The 21217-nt window shown below is 41.1% G+C and overlaps 4 annotated features.

Moving 5' to 3' along the window:
* Positions 9728-9979: a silencer, noted in NCBI's record as "fragment chr2:60549375-60549626 (GRCh37/hg19 assembly coordinates)". NCBI's record gives its function as "represses an EF-1alpha promoter that drives an FKBP-Casp9 reporter gene in an ReSE screen in phorbol 12-myristate 13-acetate-treated (for megakaryocytic differentiation) K562 erythroleukemia cells {active_cell/tissue: K562(+PMA)}" and the evidence as "EXISTENCE:reporter gene assay evidence [ECO:0000049][PMID:32094911]".
* Positions 14093-14152: an enhancer, noted in NCBI's record as "active region_15797". NCBI's record gives its function as "activates an Ori minimal core promoter by ATAC-STARR-seq in GM12878 lymphoblastoid cells {active_cell/tissue: GM12878}" and the evidence as "EXISTENCE:reporter gene assay evidence [ECO:0000049][PMID:35858748]".
* Positions 16013-16062: an enhancer, noted in NCBI's record as "active region_15796". NCBI's record gives its function as "activates an Ori minimal core promoter by ATAC-STARR-seq in GM12878 lymphoblastoid cells {active_cell/tissue: GM12878}" and the evidence as "EXISTENCE:reporter gene assay evidence [ECO:0000049][PMID:35858748]".
* Positions 20933-21002: an enhancer, noted in NCBI's record as "active region_15795". NCBI's record gives its function as "activates an Ori minimal core promoter by ATAC-STARR-seq in GM12878 lymphoblastoid cells {active_cell/tissue: GM12878}" and the evidence as "EXISTENCE:reporter gene assay evidence [ECO:0000049][PMID:35858748]".

Genomic DNA, 21217 nt, shown 5'->3' with positions numbered 1-21217 from the left:
TTCTTATGCTGTTAGAGAATCTGCAATAAAAATTTTCATGAGTGTATAGTTGAATGTGCTGCAAGTCACATAATCGAGGCCCTATTATATATTTTAGAGGGTTCAAACTCTCCTTTATGGACGTAATACTGCAAAGAATATTCTTGTTTGCATATCTTTGTAAGCAGCTTTGATCATTTTCTTAGCGTAAAATTTGAGAGGTAGAAAACCTGGGTCAAAAGGGTGGATATTTGTGTGGCTTTTGATACATATTACTAAATTGCCCCTCAGAAGTGTTGTATTAATATAAAGCTCTGCTAACAGAATATACAGTTGATTCTTGAAAAATATGGGGGTTAGGGGCACTGATGGCCTGTGCACTTGAAAAATTCAGGTATAACTTTTGACTCCTTGAAAACTTAACTATTAACAGCCTGCTGTTGACCAGAAGCCCCACTGATAACATAAATGATTGATTAACACATATTTTTATGTTATATGTATATATACTATATTCTTACAATAAAGTAAGCTAGGGAAAAGAAAATGTTATTAAAAAGATCAGAAGGAAAAGACATTTGCAGTACTGTGCTGTATTTACTGATAATGTAAGATGACATCATCTGTTTACAAGATGAATTGTTTGTCTGAAATAGGCAAATACAGCTGCAGACCTTGTCTATGGCACATATCAAGCAATCCAACTTTTTCCTGTAATGTCACGACTTTTCTCTGCTTCTTGGGAGTACTTCCAGCATCACTAGCAGCACTTCGTGTGTATCCCATGGTGTTATTCGAGGTTTATGGCATTGCACTAAACACGATGAAAAGTATGAGAGAACCACAAGAGATCACTTTTCACTATGATACACAATTTACTGGAGAGAGGAACTGCTCACCCGAAGATGATTAGAATCACACAGTGGCGATTTAAGTGGATACTTGTAACACTTGAGTCACCACAATAGCAACAGGAGGTATCTATGAAACGACTACAGTAGTACAGTATGTACTGCAGTTCATTTTTTGCAGCTCTGATTTAATACTATATCTTCACATTTGTTTACATATCTCTTGACTATGAATGATACCATGTATGTTCTGTATTTGTGTGCATATGTCTTGATAAATTCTAACTTTTTATAATAGATTTATGTATACTTTATGGTAGTAAATGATAAAATAGACTAGTATCTACATATGGTTTATATATTCATGACATACCTTTTTCTTAATTTTTTCGGTATTTCTAGTCTATGCAGTTCTGCAAGTCTTTTAAATAGTTGAAAAATCTTCCAAGGATTTTCAATATATATTGGAAAAAATCCATGCATAAGTGGATACATGCACTTCAAACCTGTGTTGTTCAAGGGTCAACTGTATCAAAAGTCATTGCCCTATGTCTTCACCAGCCTTGGGTATTTCAATTTTTGAAATTAAACAAAATGTAGTGCCTTGTTTTAATTTGAATTTCTTTGCTTATAATTGAAGCTAAACTTTTTTTTCAAATACTATACATTATTTGCAGTTTTCATTTTTGAGTTGCTTGTTCATGCCATTTGTCTATTTTTAACAATATTTTAATTTTTCATATATATATTTGCTAAAGCTGGTTATCAGCATATTAACTGTTATATGTTGCAAATTTTTTAAATCAAGTTAGTATTTGTCTTTGGCATTTGTATATGTCATGTTTATTTCTAGAAGTAACTTTGTTATAGTTAAGTCTATTAATATTTCTTCTCTCTTTCCCTTTCTCTCTGCTTACCATCCTTCCTAATTTTATTTATAGAAAACTTTTTCATATTCACCATCAGATCAATATTCACCTATGTTTTTGTTCTTTTATTATTATATTTTGGACATTTGATTTTCTAAATTTATTTGAAATTTTGGCATGCCATGTGAAGTAAGGATTGAATTTACATTTTCTTCCAAATAGTTACATAGTTGTCCTGAAACAACTTCTTAATAATTTTATCTTTTCCTGTTGATTTGAAATGTCACATTTTCTTAGATGAAATCCTTATCTGATTGGGTCTGTTTTGGTGCTTTCTGTTCTGTTTTACTCTGCATCGTTTTATTTGCTAGATTTCTAATTTGTTCTGGCAGATGAAGTTCAAGTTCTTCTCATTTTAAATTTTTCAAAAGAATTTTTGAAAGTCAGAATCTTTTGTTTCTTTCAGATTCTAAAAATTCCCATTGTGGTTTTGAGTAAAACTCCATTAACTTGGGGAGAATTTATAGCTTTCAGTATTACATCTTATCTTCCATGCTCATGATATAGCATTTCTAGTTTCAAATATTCTTTATGGATCTTTGTAAAGCATGTTGTTTTCTTTATAGCAGTCCCATATGTTAAATTTATTTTAAGGTACTTTATATTTTTGTTGCTATTTGAAATGGACCCCTTTAACCATTATATTTACTAGGTGGCTATTGTTGTTATTTAAGAAGCTATTGTTTTAGATATATTTATTTTGTAATTGTCTAGTTTACTGGGTAATTAGTTTCAATGGTTTATTAATTTTAGTTTTCTGGGTTGTTGATTATGCAAACAGTGTTCATTTGGTCTTATTGTCAATGTTGGCATTTCATATTTCTTGTCTTACTGCATTGGCTAAATATCAGGAAAAAAATTCAGCTATATTGGGGATGATGAACATACTTAACCTGCCCTTGATATACTTTGATCTTTTTATCTATTCTAATATAAGATTGGCTGAAGTTTTGTAAGACTTTATTGTGCTTTGTCTGATTTTTGTATTGACATTGTATTGCCTATTGTCTCTGTCAGATTTTTGTATTGGCATTATGCTAACTTGGCAAATTAAACGAGAGCCTTTAAAGAAATTATATGGTCTGGAACATTTTATGTAACAAAAGAATAGTTGATTTCTTAAAATTTTGAAAGAATTTGCCCGTAAAACCTTCCGATTCTAATCTCTTGGCAAACTTTTCCAATTTCTTCCATAGCATTTGCTTGTTCAACTTTTGGATATAATTTTGGTAGTCTACATTTTCTTAGAAAATTATCTATTTTACAGAGATTTGATGTTTTAGATTTGTTGTAGTGTGGCACATGAAATTCTGGTTTAAGTAAAAATATTTTCATGTCTGTAGATTTATGTACATTTTTACTCCTAATTTTGAATTTTTATTTTTTGTCTTAAAATTATGTTCTATTCTTTTTCTTTTAAAAATACATTCACTTCCATTTTATTTTTGTTAATTGCATCTTATTTACTTTTTCTAAATTATTTGATTTGAAATTTTAGTTTATTCTTATCTTTTTAAAATTACTGATGAAACCATTTAAGGCTGTATGTTTTTTCTCTGACTCTGGATTTGAGAGCATCTCCTAAATTCATGTATAAAATTTTCTGCGTAGTCTGAATTGAACTGTTATTTCCTCTTTAACTGAAAATTATTCATAAGTGAATTTTGACATTTTTAAGGAGCTGGGACTATTTTTTGGAAGGAGTGTTGTAATTTTTGTTAATCTCTAGATTTGTTCTAGGGTGCATTGAGGATGTGATTGAAACAATTTCTACTTGTTTCAAACTAACTGTAATTTTCTTTTCTGGAAGAGTCTTTTTAAATTGAAATCTGAGTGTGTTCCTTTCCTATGTAAAATTCTTCAGTACTCCTCCATTACCTTCAGGATACAATCTTAAGTCCTTGACATGGCAAAACAAATTTTCTAGAATTTAGCCTCTATCAATTATTCTAGCCTTATCTTTTGCCACTGACTCCCTTCTCCGCAGCACTAGTCAACCCCTCCTGCCTCCCCATCACAAACGCACTGAGTTAAAAGCCCCTGCTTTGGGCCTCTATTTTGTGCAGACCTCTAGTTCAGCACTTCTCTTTTATTACAGCTATGTGTCTACACACCTGCCATCCCATTAGCCAGCGAACCCTGTGGGGCCTTGGTCATTTTTGTGTTTTCAGTGTTGAGAGCAGTGCCTGGTATATACTAGGCATCAATAAATGTTGGTTGGATTGACCTTGAACAGATGGGAGCATGGCATGAGCTCAGCTGGCTAAGGGGCCTGAGGCAGGTCCCTTTTTTACCAGTTGACTTTATTGATCCACAACAAAAGATCAGGTACAAAGATTATTTGTAGAACAAGTGAAGTATGTGTTCCATATTTGTAACAAATTATCATCCTTTGTTGACAAGATTAAAGTCAATTCTAACTTTTTTTTGTGATGCTACCACATAGTGGTGTACCTGTTCTTAACATTAGGAGGAGAAGCAGTCTAGATCATGGAAAGCAGTTGGACCTGAAGCTACATGTAGCAAGCAGTCAGTCCAATATTTGCTCTGGCTGCCCCCACACAGGCTTGCAAGCCCTCAGCTTCCGCAACTGTCAGAGAAGACACTGGACAGGGTTATTCCTAATGATTTAAAAAAGCATCCTTGGTAAGCAGCAGGAAAAAAATAACTCACACCACCAAAAGAAGAAACATTTTTATTTTTTAAGATTTTTTTTAAACTGCTTAGATTCCTGAAATAGAATGCAGAATTTTATGAATTTGTGTGTTGCACATTTTTTTTTATTCTGCAGAGATCTAATTAGGTTTTCAAAGTGTATATGATCCAGAAAAGCTTAAGAACAACCTACTTAGAGGGTTCCAAACTTGAGACCTAAGGGTCACAAGGCCTGATAAAATATTATTTCTTTTTCTTCCCAGATTGCCCCATCATGTCATCCCCTTAACTGTCAGTCAATCAAAAATATTTAGAGCAGCTTCCATGTTTAACGCATTATTCTCTTCCAGTTAGAAGAAGAATAAGAAAAAGGAGCATGAGCTTGTCCCTGACTTTTAGAAGCTTAAGGTGGGATTGGGGAGAGAGGAAAAATAAATGTGGAAAGTTAGCAAATACGACTTCTGGTATAAGGCAAATACATTGGCCACAGGCTGCAGCCTCCCCTTTCTACCTTGAATACTCACAAATGATAAGAGAAAAGTTTTACAAGCACATAGCCATTCTTAAACAAGAGTAAATTTCCATTATCAGATATGGAGAGGTTTCTCTAAAGTAATTTAACACAAAGGTCATACTGGAATTTGGAGGCCTTAGCTGTTAGGCTTGTGGGGAGTGGGAATCAAAGTGGACTAATCAACGGACTCCAACTGGAATCCCATTAGCTGGAGAACCTGGGGCTGTAATTATACAACCTGTGTAGAGCTAAGGCCTGAAAACACACTCCCCATTAAAGGTGGGAGGGGGCAGCAGAAACACCTTGCTTTTGTGCCTAGGCTTATGGCTAAGGGTCTGAGGAATGCCACCCAGCATGACAAGATCTTGGCATCATCCTGTGTGTTCAGGGCCAGGGCCAGTGAGCAGATTACTTTGAGGTGAGAAGCCTGAGCCTTAGTATCAAATCCTCCTTAAAACTGCCTTGGGTTTTTAGAATGTATATGTAATATAAACAAACAATATACATACTGTATATTATTACAGTTATGTGTCTACATGTCTGTCATTCCATTAGCCAGTGAACCCTGTGGGGCCTTGGTCATTTTTGTGTTTTCAGTGTTGAGAACAGTACCTGCTATGTACTAGGCATCAACATATACTGAGTATATGTTGATATATACACACACACACGTATCAGTCAATTTTCCTAAAAGATAAGTTCACAAACAAAAATTACAAAATGCCCAGGAAGTTCAACACCATGAAAGATGAGTAACAAATTCAGAAAATGGAGGAACCAACATCCAAGGAAAAGAGATAATAGAGCAATCTAAAAAAAAAAGAAAAAGAAAACAAAAAATTAGCTAAATGTTTTCAAAGATAAGTGAGGACACAGATATGATGAAATAAGAACAGAACACAGTGAAAAAAGAACAGGTGGTTAGGAAAAGATTAGAAACTTCATAAATGAAGAAATAGTTATTAGAATAAAATAATTTAGTCCATGGGTGTTTTAGTTAACAAATCATGCTAAAAATTAGTAGCTTAAAACAGTAAACACTTATTATTTCATAGTTTCTTTGTGTCATCATTCAGGCATAGTTTAGCTGGTTGATTTTAGTACAGGATCTCTCATGAGGTTATAGTTAATACATGAGCCAAACTCTGCAGTCATCTGAAGTCTTGACTGGGGCCGAAGAACCTGCTTCTAGGATGGTTCATTCATGTAGTTGTTGGCCAAAGGCCTCAGTTCCCATAGTGCTGCTTGATGTAGTCATACAACATGGCAGCGGCTTCTTCTAGAGTATGTGATCGTAGAGACAGCAAGGATTAAGAAAGCATAAGGTTTTTTATGATGAAGTCTTGGAATTTACACACTGTCTCTTCCACCATATTCTATTAATTAGATCCGTCATCAAAACTAGACCTAACTCGAGAAGAATTAGATTCCACTTCCTAGAGGAAAGACTTTGCAGGTACATTTAAAAACATACAGTGGGATAAATAGCCTATTGTACACAGCAAAAAATGAATTAGGAAACCGGAAGACTGAGCTGAAGAAATGTTTCAAGATGTGACATAAGGAGCTAAAGGGATGAAAAACATGCAAAAGAAGTGAAGAGATCTGGAGGACAGATCAAAATGCCCCAATATAAATTTAATAGTGGTCCCAAGAGAAGGAAACAGAGAAGAAGATGCAGACAAAATATTTGAGGGTATAGGGGCTGAGAATTTCCCGAGACTGAAGATAATATTTCCCAGATTGAAAAAAATCTCATCAGGGCTGAAAAGTATAAATAAAAGTTAGCCAACTCTACAAAGCAATCACATTGGCAAAAGGGTGGCAGAAGATACTGCTTCAAAAAATGAAGGGCAAGAGATTTCTAGGGATGGAATAGTCAGAAAACTCTTTGTAGGTGGTAGTGGGAAGGCTAGGTCTGTTTCAGGCACAGAAGGCTGACTGTGCTCAGTAGAAAGGGACCAGCTTGTTGGGCAGTGATGATGGTGCTCACGCATCTTCAACTGACCTTCCATTGGCTCCTGGGACAACTTCCTCCCCACCTCTGCCTCACCTTTGCCACTATAAAAAGTCTGGCAAAGAAGAGTGAGGCTGCCCTGGAACTCTGATACCCTAAGTGTAGTGGCAAGGCCTGAATACACCATGCTTTCTACCCCTCCACCCCTCAATGGGGCAAGATAAGGTCCCTTTCTGCTTCAGGCTCCTCTCTCCAGATTTTGGGCCTCAAATGTCAAAATGCTCTAAGCAAATAAAGATAATTTTCTTCTGCACTAAGGCCTAGACTTGCCACATTCCTGTTTATTTTCACCCCCAAAAGCTGTAATTAGTAGTCAGGCTTGATTTTCCCTGCAGACTCAGAGACAGGAATAAGTGTTAATTTGAACATTTGCAACTAACAAATACCTTCCCATTGGCCCACACATAACCCAGCAGTTTTGAGAGATGATGAAGCCCCTAAGGAAGGCACAGGGTGGGGTGGAAGGTAGGTGGGGAGGGTGCAGGGAGGCAGGAGCTGATGCAGTCCGGCCGGGGCTATCTTGCTGACACCACAAGGCCAAGACCTGGAGAAGTGACAGCTTTACAAAAGTGAAGGCCTTGATGGGAAGTGGCAGAAGGCAGCTAACTACACCCAAACTCACAAGAGACGAACACCACCGAACGGGAGCAAAAGCTTTGGCTGGGAAAATCAGTCATCTTAAGAGAGAAAACATTGTTGGGGAAAAATATCTTTGACCAGGCAGTGTGATCCAACCCCATGAGAAATTTTTCTTAAGACCAAACCTTTGCCCTTTGCGTCCTGATCTCCTGCCTCAGGCGGAGGCTCTCTGGATATATGTCTCTATGCTGAGGTCACTATTGTCTAAGGTTCAATAAAGCGGGTCTGAGGGAACAAGTTTTGGGGCAGGAAGGAAAAAATATTGGCAAGGAGAAATCAGAGTCTTAAAACCACAATAATTCGATCTACCACATGAACTTTCACAGTCAGTTCAGAGTTCATTCATGGTTCTTTTTTTCCCTCCTGTTGCTGCTGTTGTATTTTCCCTGTCTGCATTTTTTTTTAGCTTCCTGAAAACTACTTAAAAATTGGATAAAGAGAAGGCATCATCCACTTTTCCTCCCTTTAAGGGAAAAAAGAAGTTTCCAATATCACCAAGCAGGATGGCAATTTATTCCTTTTGGTTTCATTTCTAATCCCTAGGGATATTGAGGGAAAGGGGGCACTCTCTGTCTTCCCCTCCTCTTTGTTTCATTCCTCTTGTTCTGTGTCTCTTAATCAGTCGGTCACATTCCAGATCTTTCTTTTTGTCTCTTCTTCTCTCTGGGTATTCTGGTCTTTCTCTTTGGCTACAGTCTCTACATAACCAGACCCACACCCAATATATCAGCGAGGCATTCAGCATCCTGGGCCAGCCACAATCTCACAGCCTGCACAGCAGTCACATTCCCGGTTGTATTTTCAACCTCGTTTCAGCACCCCTAGGCGGTGTACACGCTGAGAAACTTTGGTTCTTTTAGCTGTCTGGATGATCTTTTATTTTAGTGACCCTGGGCAGAACACAAACCGAGCTCAGTCTGCTGACGGAGACCTGACCTCTTTTTATGTAGCTATGTCGAAAGGGGCATCTGTGGGATAGCCAGGTTTTCAGGCCAATAGTTTTGGGATGGCTGCACGTGCACGTGCCCACACACACACACACACACACACACACACACACACACGGCATTGCAGAGAAACTGATTTATTTTTGGGGTGGTATTTGATTCCTATGAAGTAATTTGAAAACTTTTATTTCCCATTTTCCTTATTGTTATTTTTTTTTAGTGAGAGAAGGAAATGGGTGATACCTCCAGCCAAAGCTGTCATGTTATGATGCAGGCAGGGGCCTCAGCAAAGAGTGTGGTCTTTCAGGTAAAGGAATCAGGGCTGGGAGAAGAGAGGGCTAGAAATTGCATATGGCAGGGAGGCTGCTGGACTCTCCTGCTTTGCAACCGGGCACTAGCTGCAGGATGATTCAGGTGCAGACAGGTTTTTTTTTTTTTTGTGACTCAAGGACTCCAAATGATTCTGAAGACAAGGGGAAAGCATGGCGTGTTGACATGAAATCTGAGGCTTTCTTGGGTGTTGTGGTGGGTGAGAATGAAGGTTAGGTTTTCAGTGAGTTTGAACAGCACACCAGAATTTTAGGGAAAGAATTGTTATTTACAAATTCCTGGATCTTTCTCAGTGAATGGGGGTGCTGGTCTACATGCTTGGGGTCCCAGGCATTTCAGAGATTTGTAGGAAACACAGGGCAGGAAGGTGTCTAGCAATTAGGAACAGTTTCTCTGCTGGTCTGAGTGTCTGAGAGCCCTGGAGTTCTGCATCTTGACTGGGTTTTGGGACCCAGGCTTACTGATAGCTGAGTGGAGGAAGACGTGCACCAGTCACTTGTCTCATAAATATAATGGTAACTCAGAATCTTGGCCTTTAATCCCATGGCTATTTGCACAATTACCTTCTCATGACCAGCACTAATCCTCAGCAAAACTGCAAAGTCAGGTGAATCCTGCCTCAGTGGCTTCAGCTTTTTTATCTCCTCCCCTATCCCCTGGCTGGCCCACCCTCACTCACTTCCTCAGCTCCTATCTTCCCTCTCAACCTGGTGTTCTGGGCTCCTTTCTCTCTGCCCTATTAAAAATTCCATAGAAAACACAGATCTTAGTAACTCACATCTTAGCTTTCCCAAGAATGTTTGCATCTCTCATTATGTTCTAAAAGGCTTTGTCCTTTATGGGAGGAATGAATGCAAGTTCCACGGGGATAGATATTTTTGTTAGTTTTGTTTGCTGTCGTAACCCCAGGACCTAGGACAGTGCCCAGCATATGGCAGATGATCAATAAACTTAATTGAATGAATGAGTCAACTAAGTGAATTCAGGTTTTGGTCAGCACATAAGGACAGCTCTTCCCTGTGGGGGGAGCAGCTGGAGAGAGACAGACACTGAAACTGCCCCTACTCTCTCCAGGGTTTCACATACAGGCTACCACCTCCTCCGTCCCCACAGAAGGCCAATCCCTTAAATAACTTTTTAAAGACGCAACTTTGTTTCGTCAGACTCTCTGGGATACTAAAATCCCTGCTTCGGTTTCTGGCAAACTTTCCATTCTTACATGGCAAAGATGGTTTCCTTTCCCACTCTCCCAGGCCCCCGGCTTCATTATGGTGACCTCTTTCAGCATGGTGGTCAGTGCCTAATGTTCATTCGCCCCCGGGGGATCCCAAAGCTGCATATGCAATGCCCACCTCTGTCCTCACGGCGACGGGAATAGAACAGTCTTTCCTTTCGCAAACCTCCATGCCTGCGTCTCCTTTGCACGACTGACTGCTTAATAGTAAAATCGATCTGCTTCTAGGCAGGGGCTTCAGGCCTGGTGACTTGGCCTTAAACAAAGTCACGCCTGCAAAGGACAATTGCTCAGAGCTGTCCCTCTCTGAGGACTGCCCCTTGTTAAGGTGTGAGATGGAAAGTTGACAATGGAATTAAAATATTTTGGGCTGTTTGGAGAGCTGTTTTTAATATGTGCAAGGGCTGTAGTAGTCCTTGTTTAGAACATCTTCAGTTTGCCAGGGAGCTCTGTGCATGGAAAATGTGAGCGCAAGGCCTGAGGTAGAAGGGGAATCTAAACGACCTGGACATGTACCCGCTGTTCCGAGCAGCTGGGGGTGTGGGCTCTGTGTGTATTAGGGAAGGCTTTTCTTCTATTTCTAGACATTCTCTCTCCCACCTTTCAGTGGGCATGTAAATACCCATCAGCACCCTGGTCCGCAGGACCATCCCAGCCAGCTGTACCATCCACAGTGGATTGTATACATAATGCAACACCATTAACTGTAATGCTGTCACTCGGCAGAAAGAGCACTGGGGAAGTGCTGGGTGGAAGGTAGGAAGCTGCTGACCAGCTGGCTCTCGTTTATGTAATCATAAACTCAAACCTGCATCTCTCTGAAAGCAAGAAAAATCACTCACCCACCTTTGGATTACACTTTTACACAAATTAATGTCATTTTCTTTTCCAACAGTATTGACTGCAGGGCTGAATTTGGCCCGGCAGGCACAGGGAAAAGGAAGCATGCTAAGAGCAGCTGAGTTAACGGCATCCCTCTCAAGAAAGAGGATTCTCTGAGCAGGGTGAGAGAACAGAGGGAGAAGATGAAGAAGAAGAAGGAGAAGGAGGAAAAAAAACCCAACAACTTGCAAACACATACACCTCCCTGTGTGCTGCTGCTGCCTGGATGCATCTAAGATGGCACCTTGGTGCCCTGCCACATTCGGTCTCCTTGGTACCGAAGCGGCGCTCAGCTTCTTGTCACTGAGTGGATGATGATTATCTGCACCAGGGTCTCAAGGGTGCTCAGGCTTTGCTGGCGATTGGAGCTGAGATGCTTCAGCTGAAGGATTTTAAAAGCTATACAAGGCCAAAGAACCATTACCAGTCACTTGCTGTGTGATGCCTGTTGAAGAGGGGGTGGGTATGGAAAGGGGGGGTGCTGGGGGAGCCAGCAAGGGGAGGGCATGATATCTTTATCCCCTCCCTGTCCTCTCACTCTCCCCCTCTCCTCCCACCTCTCCACTTCCCCATGCCTTTTTAGCCACTGTACCCTTGCTGAGGCATGACAAGGTTATGTCAGTGTGGTCTGAGAATCTATTGATCACGGCCATCAAAGATCTTCGCAGGAGTTTAGGGATTTGGTGCTTTGCATAACACCCCACTCATCTCGGTTAACTCCTCCTGTCCTGGCCTGGGCTCCTACCACCTCAGAGCTGAGCTGTTTGCAAAACTTGCTAATTCCTGTGACAGCTGCTTTCTGAACTACATTCATAAGGCTGTCAAAACCATTGTAATTACTATTATAACAAAGCTCAGGTGCATGACCCAGGCAGCTAAGAAGAGATGGGATTGGATGAGACATAGCAAAGGGAAAAAACCCACATATAGCTACCAACACCCCATGCGTGTGCCTATTCACAGACACGCACATGCTTGCCTCATCTTCCCCTTGGAGGACCACAAAAGAAAGGTTCAATAAGCAGAAGGGATCTTGTTGATCTCCTATCCAGGTGATTTTTCTTTGAATCAGTGGAAAAAAAAAGAGATGGTAGAAACTACTGAGTCATATACTTGCATTCTGACATGTAACATCTCTCAATAAATGTATTTTGAGTGTGGACTGTGGAGCCAGCACTATTCTAGATGCTGCAGCTAAGCAGGATATAAGACAGACAAAAATCCCTGTCCTCATGGAGCTATTAGTCTGGATGCACTGATACGAGGCCGCCTGTCTTCAAAGTCTGTGAGTGACTGAGGCCTCCCCTGTGACTACATCATGACTGGATCAGTATTTTCCGCTAGTGCAATTTGCACAAATACACATACACACTCACATATAATACTTACAGACTTTAATAGTAAAAGAGTAAGAAAATATCTGAAATATTTCTCTTTGGAGTCTGCAAAAACAGGAAAAACTAAAATGTCCCAAACCATGAACCTCAAAGAAAAGTGACACTGGTTTTCAGCCTGATGATGCACTGTGTCCTGAGAGGTGTTTTTGTTAGCTAGATTTTACCCACCTGGAAGGACGATTACAAGGGCTTGCAGTGCATGGAAAAATCTAAGTATTTCTTACAGTAAGAGAGAGGTGGTGGTCCTCCACAGGCTGTAGAATGGGCAGTTCCCGTGGGTACCTGCCCACAGGTTTCCTGGGATGCTGCAGGGAGAGCAGGTTTAGAATACAGAGATGTGAGTGGTGTGGTCCTGGACAGGAGGCTACAGAGTGAGAGGACTGGCCTTCAGAGCAAAACTGTATTTTGCAAAGGATCTTGGGGACCCTTCTGGGATGCAGGGCATCATGAACCCCCAGATGGTGGCCAGGCTTGTGGTCCCGGCTGGGTTATACCACGGAGCATCCTATTCAGGGCACAGCAGAGTGCCCAGGTGTCTAAGGACCAGGGCACATTCAGCCTGCCTGAGGGGGCTTTTGGCCACATGTGACAACAGATGAGCTTCTGGTTGTTCCTCTCTGCCCTTAGCACTGGGTGTCACTGCAGGGAGGGTGGATCCCTTTAGAGACTTGTAGGGGCCAGGAATTAATCACCTGGCTGAAGGAGGGTGGGGGTGGAAGTTGAGAGGAAGAGAGGGGCAAGAGCACGAAAAGTTTGACAGAGGGGAGGAAAGAGAGGGATCTTTTTGGCTCAGCAATTCTCAGACTCCCTCAGAATCCAGCTCTTCATCCTTGGCTGTCCTGAAAGTATCCTTTTGTAGAGACTGATGTAACGCCTCGGCTGAGCCCCAGACGTTTTGTGCATTAGTGCATTGCCTTTGCACATTTTGGGAGCTGGAGGGTTGGAATCCCAGACACTTATGTTTACAGTGGGACTGCAGATTTCTCTGTTAACAGATTGGAGGAGCAGTGGCATTTGCATGCAGGAGAGTCGTTGTTTCGGAGGCAGGAGAATGCTGGGTCTGGGCTCTATGTTGGGAATGGGTAGCACTTGGCAACTTCACTGTCAGACCCGAAGCCTCCAATCTCAGAACGCCCATCTGAATGGGAGCCGGCAGAGGGCTCACGCAGCACGCAGCCCCATCCTGTGTGTCCAGCCTGCAGCAGGGCGGGGAGGGAGAGCTTCTTTTCTTTTTTCTCTTCTCTTCTTTTCTTCATCTTTACGCTGTCTTCAGAGTTAGGGGGTTACATTTTGGATGCTTCCCCTCAAAAGGCAGCTTGTTTTGAATAAGCATGCCCACCCCAACCATGCTTTTGAATCACACAGTGACTTTATTCATAAGGTCGCTCCTTTCAAGGCAATAGATGAGGAATGAGGAGTCTGGGCCCACAGTGAAATCATCACTAGCTAAACCCAAAGCAGGGATGCTAGCAAGAGAAGTCGACATCTTCCTCCAAAAAGGATTTATTTTTAAGCAATGAGAAGAAGACAAGGCGTGTGTGTCTGTGTGTGTGTGCTACATTCACGTGCCAAGCATGGCATAACTCTGCACGAAGACTACAAGCAACTTGAACTTGGCTTTGGTGACGCCCTGTGTATTTTTCTAATAAACAAAAACACAAAAACAGAATTTCTAAACCCTGGCCCCACCTCCAGAAAGGTCCTCCTCCTCCTTCTCCTCCTCCTTGTCAGACAGTTTCACTTCTGCCATGTTTTTTCATTTCTCCTTTAGGTTCTCGTGCCTTTTTGAATACCTTTGTAGTGAGGAGCCGGCTGCCTCCCCACCTCTTCTCACTTCTGCTGTTTTGTGATCTTGCCGTTTTAATGAGAGCACAGTCAATAACTATGGAGAGGTGCTGACGACATTACAAAGGAACTCGCCCTTAACAAGTCAACTGTAGACGAGGTGCCAACGGGATGGACAAGAGGATTAAAGTATTTATGCCAAAATATCAGAAGCACACGCAGAATTAGCTCCCTTCGTGTTAGATATTTTACTTTTGGCAAGTCCGTATTTAAAAATCTTTTATCCTTGTTTTGCTTAAAGTATTACAATAAGCCCTGGATTTTTCACAGTTACACTTGTATATTTTCACAGCTGTTTTAATCAGAAAAAATTAATGTGCTTTTGATAGCTCAGAAATCTATCACTGGCAAAAGCTTTGCAAAGATGTGCTATGGAGCAGAGTGGAATCCTCAACATCATACATTTTACTGGCTATTTGAAATTCATAGAATTTCCCCTAAATATTTTCTTTTGCAATTCTTGCCTAAATTAATCTAACAGCTCGGGCTGACATCTTTGATAATCTCTTTTGTTATGAATGCAGGGATTGTTATTGTTAACGTTCTTTGGTAACCCAATGTGAACTGTCTGTTACTGGAGGAAAATACAATTGCTATTTTTGGGTGTATTGGAAGCATTTACTAAAATAAAATATATGCCATAATGGATAGGCAGGACTGGTACTCTCGTTGGTGGCTTTATAGTTACTGGCTTAACCAAGGTGCTCCCCTGGATTTTCACCAGCAGCTCATAAAAGAACTTGACTTTTGCTTTTCAAGGTCTGAGACTCATACAGATCCATGGACACTGCATCTCGGGCATGGTGACAGCACATGGCCTTGGACCCAAATGCTGGGTACACATCATTCACTGGGCAAGAGAGGGAACTAGGAGTAAAGTTCCTGGCAGCATGTCAACAACACCAACACCAAAAATAATTAAAAAAACAAAGCAATACAAAAACAACTTGCAACAAGGGAAGGGAAAGATGGGAAAGGAACAAAAGAGATGAACAAAAGTCTCCATTTGCCCAGGTTTGCCTGGCAAAGAAGAGGCTGGTTTCAAGGGGAGGGGGAATCAGTGGATTAATGTGAACTTTAATACCGAAGCAGTGTGTGTTTATTGCTGGTGACCACAAGACATAAATCTTGCAAGCACAATATACAATGCGATGCAGCCCCCAGTTTTTTTTTTCCATCTCCAGTCTCAATTTGTGTGTAAGTGTGTGTTAAGTGCTGGTGAAAAATAGTGACCTTTAATAAAGGATTGTATCCTGTGACTATTTTCCCAGACACACAGTGACCTTTCAAACCAGACTGAGGTGAGGGGGTGTGGAGTTTGGACTTTGAACCGGCCAGACCCCGCTGCGCTCCTCTGTTAGCCTGGCCACTTTTTATTGTGTCACCAGGGAGCATTCTGTATGCAAAGCAGGCTGGGCTGGCAGCCTGAACCTTTGCAAATCAATTTGTCTGTGAAGGCGAGTCCACTGGAGTGAAAGATGGTCTAACAGGGCACACTGCCTCCTCTCTTTGTGACATCATCGCCTGTGGTACTCTTGTCAGTCATGTCTGCCCAAAGGACAGTTGGAAAGGGGGGCCATGCTGGGGAGGGGGTGAAAGGGTGGGAGGGGTTAATCCTCATGACCAACTGTGGCCTGAGAGACAAGGGGCATTCTTCTTAAGAGGACAAAGCTGGGGGGTGGATGATCTGCCTGGCTGGGAGGGTGTTGGGGGAGGGCACCATTCACTTTCAATATTGTTGCCTGGCTGTAGAAGCCAACCCTACTGTTTTTTCTCTCTTCTGGGTCTAGGTATTGTTACAGGAAGGGATCACTATCTCTTTTGGACCAAGAGAGTGTCAGGTCCTAAGGAAATGTTGAAGGTCATAGTAGCAAGAAGGTTCACACCTGCCAACGGAGCTGGCACCCATGAACTCTAACTTTTGACTATTTACCATTAAAGACCTTGAGCTACAATCCCATCTCATAGCAAACCTTTTCATAAGGGTTAATATTATTATTGATTTCCTTAAGTCTTTCCAACATCCACGACTGTGCATTAATCAGTAGCTAAAAAGACCAGAAAAGACAGAAAAATTTAACTACTTTGTTCCCTAATTCAAATTTCTTCAAGAAGTCCTTCTAAAGATATGGAACTCCTGCATTTTTCATAAAACAGTGGTTAGATCAATTTCCGTGTAAGCAATGAATCATCTTTATACTTCACAAAAGATGGGGAGCAAAGTTTGACTTACCAAAGAAAGGCTGACTGATTAGTCTCTGGGTGAACAGTCTGGTGGGAAGACCACAGATTCCTGACCCCTGCACAGGTTTAACATGAAGCCCTCCAAGGAACCTTTCAGAACTGCAGCAATGACTTACGGTGGCTTCAGAGTGGGGTGAGCTTGAGTTCTAATCCTTGCTCTATCACTTATCAGATTATGAGAACTTCGGCAAGTTACCGACCTCTTTAAGCCTTGGTTTCCTCATCTATGAAATGGGGATAAGGCATATTTACCGTATGGGGTTTTTGTGAGAATGAAGAGTTCAGATGCTTGCACTGCTTGGCAGAGTGCTGGCATGTAGTTACCTTCCATAAGCGGCAGCCCTGGTAATAATATCATAAGTGATGATTATTGAGGTTGGGTACTAAACAGGATGTTGTTGTCTACAGATAGATGAAGGATAATTCAGGTTTTAAATAGCTTTATCATCCATGAAGCACTTGTTTCAACTTAAAGATCCTGGACGTTTGAGGAGAAGTTGTGTTTTATTTTGCAAATTGTCATATTGGATTTAAGATGATTGACATGTGCATCATATATATGTAGCATCATATATATGTATACACACATAGAAATATATATTTGTGCTATGCACACATCATTTTTTTCCTGACTACCAAGCTATTTTCAGTTATAACCCCCAAGCATAGGATACTAAAATTTATTTGTGTATCATGTCCTTTCTACATGAGATCACAGGATGATTTGCAGAGAGTCAGTGGCAAGCTGACAGGGAGAAAATGTTTTTGGGAGCAGGATTTGAAAGGGAAGTTACTGTGAGGCGAGGCTAGCCATCCATTTGTAAAGAGCACAGACGTGATTGGCATGGGCTGACGACTGAAAGAAAAATTCCCAAAACAGTTTGATTTTTAAGTTGAGTTTGAAGTTGAGTTTCACCATGAAAATTGTGAAAAGGAATGGGTTGAGTGTATCTCATTTTGAGGGAAACAATCTTACTGACCTTTTTATTTGGGAACTCACAACTAAGGGAACAGTAATGGGGGATTTGGGAAGTAATGTGAGCAAAGGTAGGAATTTCAGAGAGACCCGAGGCAACATGGAGTATTCTAGGTGAGGAAAAGGAAATATTAGAGGCAGAAAGATAAGAATGAGGTCACATATCAGATATTGGAATCAAAGTTAGGATGCTAGAATTCCTTTAATGATAGCAACAAAAAACAAGAAACAAACAAAAAACAAACAAACAAAAAAACCCAAACAGATAATACAGAAACAACCACAAAAACAGTTCTTTTAACCACAAGTTAGTGGTGTAGAATGAAGCCTTGAAATAGCAAGCTAAAAAAAAAAAAAAAAAGGTTATATCGAGCATCCCTTAAGAAACACAGAAGACTTTGAGACTAAAAGTAGATATAATTCTTAGCATGGAGGTAATGAATGACACATTCCAGAAAATGAAGAAAGGATGATAGACAAAGACATGCAGGTCCAGTCAGATCTTGTTTACGTGTTTCTTGGATTCAGTTATCCAAGATGTCAAATCTGGACCATAAGTGAGATGGTTCCAAAGCCTTACCCAATACAAGCAGCACCTGAGGTGGGCATCTTTCTGGTCCCTTGGTTCAGCTCATCTTGCAAAGGGTTCCTTTGCACTCCCTAAGTAAGAGATGAATTGAGGCCAGGTTGAGAAACAGGAAAAGGGAGAGAAACTTCTTGGAATTGCATGAGCAGAAACCATTCTTAGAAAGGCTGGCTGTCCTAATACAGTTAAGTGTGTAGGCATAATGCTCCCAGTGTTCCCAGAGGCTGAGTTGGAAGAAGCCACGTGGGAAATTGGAAATAGCGTGGCTCCTTTGTCCTTGCTATATTCTGCTCTGTTTTTCTTAGATGTTGGAAAACTCTCCTTGAATCCTGTCCTTCCACTGCTTATGAAAGCAGGGGATTACATTACCTCAGACCTCTTCTACAGTGAGAGAAGGTTGATTACAGTTATCAACTGGAATTGTGGAGAAAAATGAGAAAAGATTAGGCATCTATAACAAGAAAAAGGCAGAGCATGAGTCTGTAGGGCAGGGCAGCTGCTAGCCAGGTGGAAGTGAAAGTCTAGGTGCAAGTGGTCTGGGAGGTGGAGGCTGACCCTGCTGGTAGAAGCTCAAACCTGCATTAGGGAAAGGAAACTCGGACACTGTTTTCTCCTCTCTGTCCACAAATGAGGAATAATAGAGCCATTTTCTGTTCTTATTCTGGGGATAGGGTGTGTCCCAAGAGAGGTCACATTCTAAGACCCTGTCCAGTTTGAACTGAGGCATGACCATCTTGATCAGTCGTAGGAGATTTCTATGAGGAAGTGAGATGGGAAAGGGTAGGGCCTCTTATCCTAATATACTCAAATTGGTAACATTAATTATCCATCAGATAAGAAATCAGGGCCTCGCCTGGCATCTCTGACAGCAGTAGGATGGGAGCTCTCTGGAGGTTTCCAGCTGCCTCGATGGCGGCTGGCTGTGGGTGATTCCTGGACCAGGTGCTGGGAGCATTCTACAAGATCACCTAGGGTAGTGCCTGATGAGAATGAGGTGTTGGTAAAATGGAGCTGTCTCATTGTGCTTCGACACTTAATTGTACACTGTCTCTTCAATGACAAAGTGAAGCCTTGAGGGTAGGCCCCATATCTGCACATTAAAATTCCTCAGGATCTCTTACTAAACTGGCATGCAGTAGCCAGAAATGTAGCCGGTGAAACTTTGTTGTTTAGCTATTTAAGTGGTGAGGGAAGGAGAAGAGGTCCCAGAAAAAAATCTCCCAGCCATTGGGAAGGGAGGTGTTCGTGGTGGTGGGGAGAGGACTTGTGGGTGGTTAAGCTTATTACCCTGATTAACTTGGTTAGCTTGTTACCCTGATTAACTTTATCCAAGTGTTTCATATGCTTAGAGCTTATCTGATCTCCACATGGGCCATGAAAGCTACTGGGGCTGGGAACTCCTGCCCATTACCAATTAGAACTGGGGTTATGACTAAAAACAAAAGAGCTTTACTTTGTGTAGCACTCCACCATTTTCATTTTCATTTTCTTTTCTTTTCTTTTCTTTTTCTTTTTTTTTTTTTTGAGATGGAGTTTCACTCTTGTTGCCCAGGCTGGAGTGCAATGGTGTGATCTTGGCTCACTGCAACCTCTGCTTCCTGGGTTTAAGCGATTCTCCTGTCTCAGCCTCCTGAGTAGCTGGGATTACAGGCAAGGGCTACCACGCCTGGGTAATTTTTGTATTTTTAATAGGGATGGGGTTTCATCATGTTGGTCGGGCTGGTCTTGAACTCCTGACCTCAGGTGATCCACTGGCCTCAGCCTCCCAAAGTGCTGGGATTACAGGCATGAGCCACTGCACCTGGCCCACCATTTTTATTTTCTTACTTTCTTTTAAAATAGTTTTTAAATTAAGGTATGACTAACATACAAAAAAGCTATAAATATTTAATGTACACAGTTATCCCTCGGTATCCTTGGGGGATTGGTTCCAGGACCACTACAGAGACCAAAATCTGGGGATGCCCAAGTCCCCTATATAAAACAATGTGGTATTTGCATATCACCTATTCACATCCTCCTGCATACTTTAAATCATCTCTAGATTACATATAATACCTATTACAATGTAAATGCTATGTAAATAGATATAAATATAGCATATTTTTAAATTTGTATTTTAAAATTGCTGTATTGTTATTTTTTATTGCTTTTTTTCCCAAAAATTTTTGGCAGGTGGTTGGATGAATCTGAGGATGTGGAACCCGTGGATATGGAGGGCTGACTCAATGCCTTGATGAGCTTGAAGATAAGTATATACCCCCGAAACCACCACCACAAACAATGCCATAAACTTAACCACTGCCTCTAAAAGTTTCCTCTCTCCTTTTTTCTACAATAAGGATATTTAACATAAGATCTACCCTCTTAACAAATGTTTAAGTGTATAATATAGTATTGTTAACTATATGCACTGTGTCGTACAGTAGCTCTCTAGGATTTACTCATCTTGCATAACTGAAACCATGTATCTTTTGATCAACACTTCTCCAGTTCCCCCTCCTCCCAGCCCCTAGTAAGACTATTTTAGATTCCTCATATAAGTGAGCACTTCACTGTTTTCAAACTGCATTTGTAAAGTTGATCTCCAGGTAGAGTTGCAAGATAAAGTACAGGACACTCAACTACATTTGCATTTCAGATAAACAACAAATAATTTTTAAATATTGCATGGTTCATACCTAGACCAAAAAATTTTGTTGTTTATCTGAATCTCAAACGTAGTTGGGCATCCGGTATTTTTTGTTGTTGTTGTTGTTATTGTTGTTAAATCTGGCAATATTATCTCCAGGCAGAAGACTAGAATTGTGGTTAAAGCACAAACACTGCTAACATAGAAGTGGTTAGTACTTCAAGCTCTGCAGCTTATTAACTTGGTGTCTTTGGGGAAGATTTCTTTTCTTTTGAGTTGGAGTCTTGCTCTTATTGCCCAGGCTATAGTGCAATGGCGTGATCTTAGCTCACTGCAACCTCTGCCTCCAGGGTTCAAGTGATTCTCTTGCCTCAGCCTCCAGAGTAGCTGAGATTACAGGTGCCTGCCACCACGCCCGAGTGATTTTTGTATTTTTAGTAGAGATGGGGTTTCAACATGTTGGCCAGGCTGGTCTCAAACTCCTCACCTCAAGTGATCCACCCGCCTTGGCCTCCCAAAGTGCTGGGATTATAGGTGTGAGCCACTGAGCCCAGGCTTCT

This window comes from Homo sapiens, chromosome 2 (genome assembly GCF_000001405.40).
Source record: "Homo sapiens chromosome 2, GRCh38.p14 Primary Assembly".
Taxonomy (NCBI): domain Eukaryota; kingdom Metazoa; phylum Chordata; class Mammalia; order Primates; family Hominidae; genus Homo; species Homo sapiens.
Note: the sequence above shows the minus strand (reverse complement) of the source record. Positions and strands in the feature narration are given on the sequence as shown.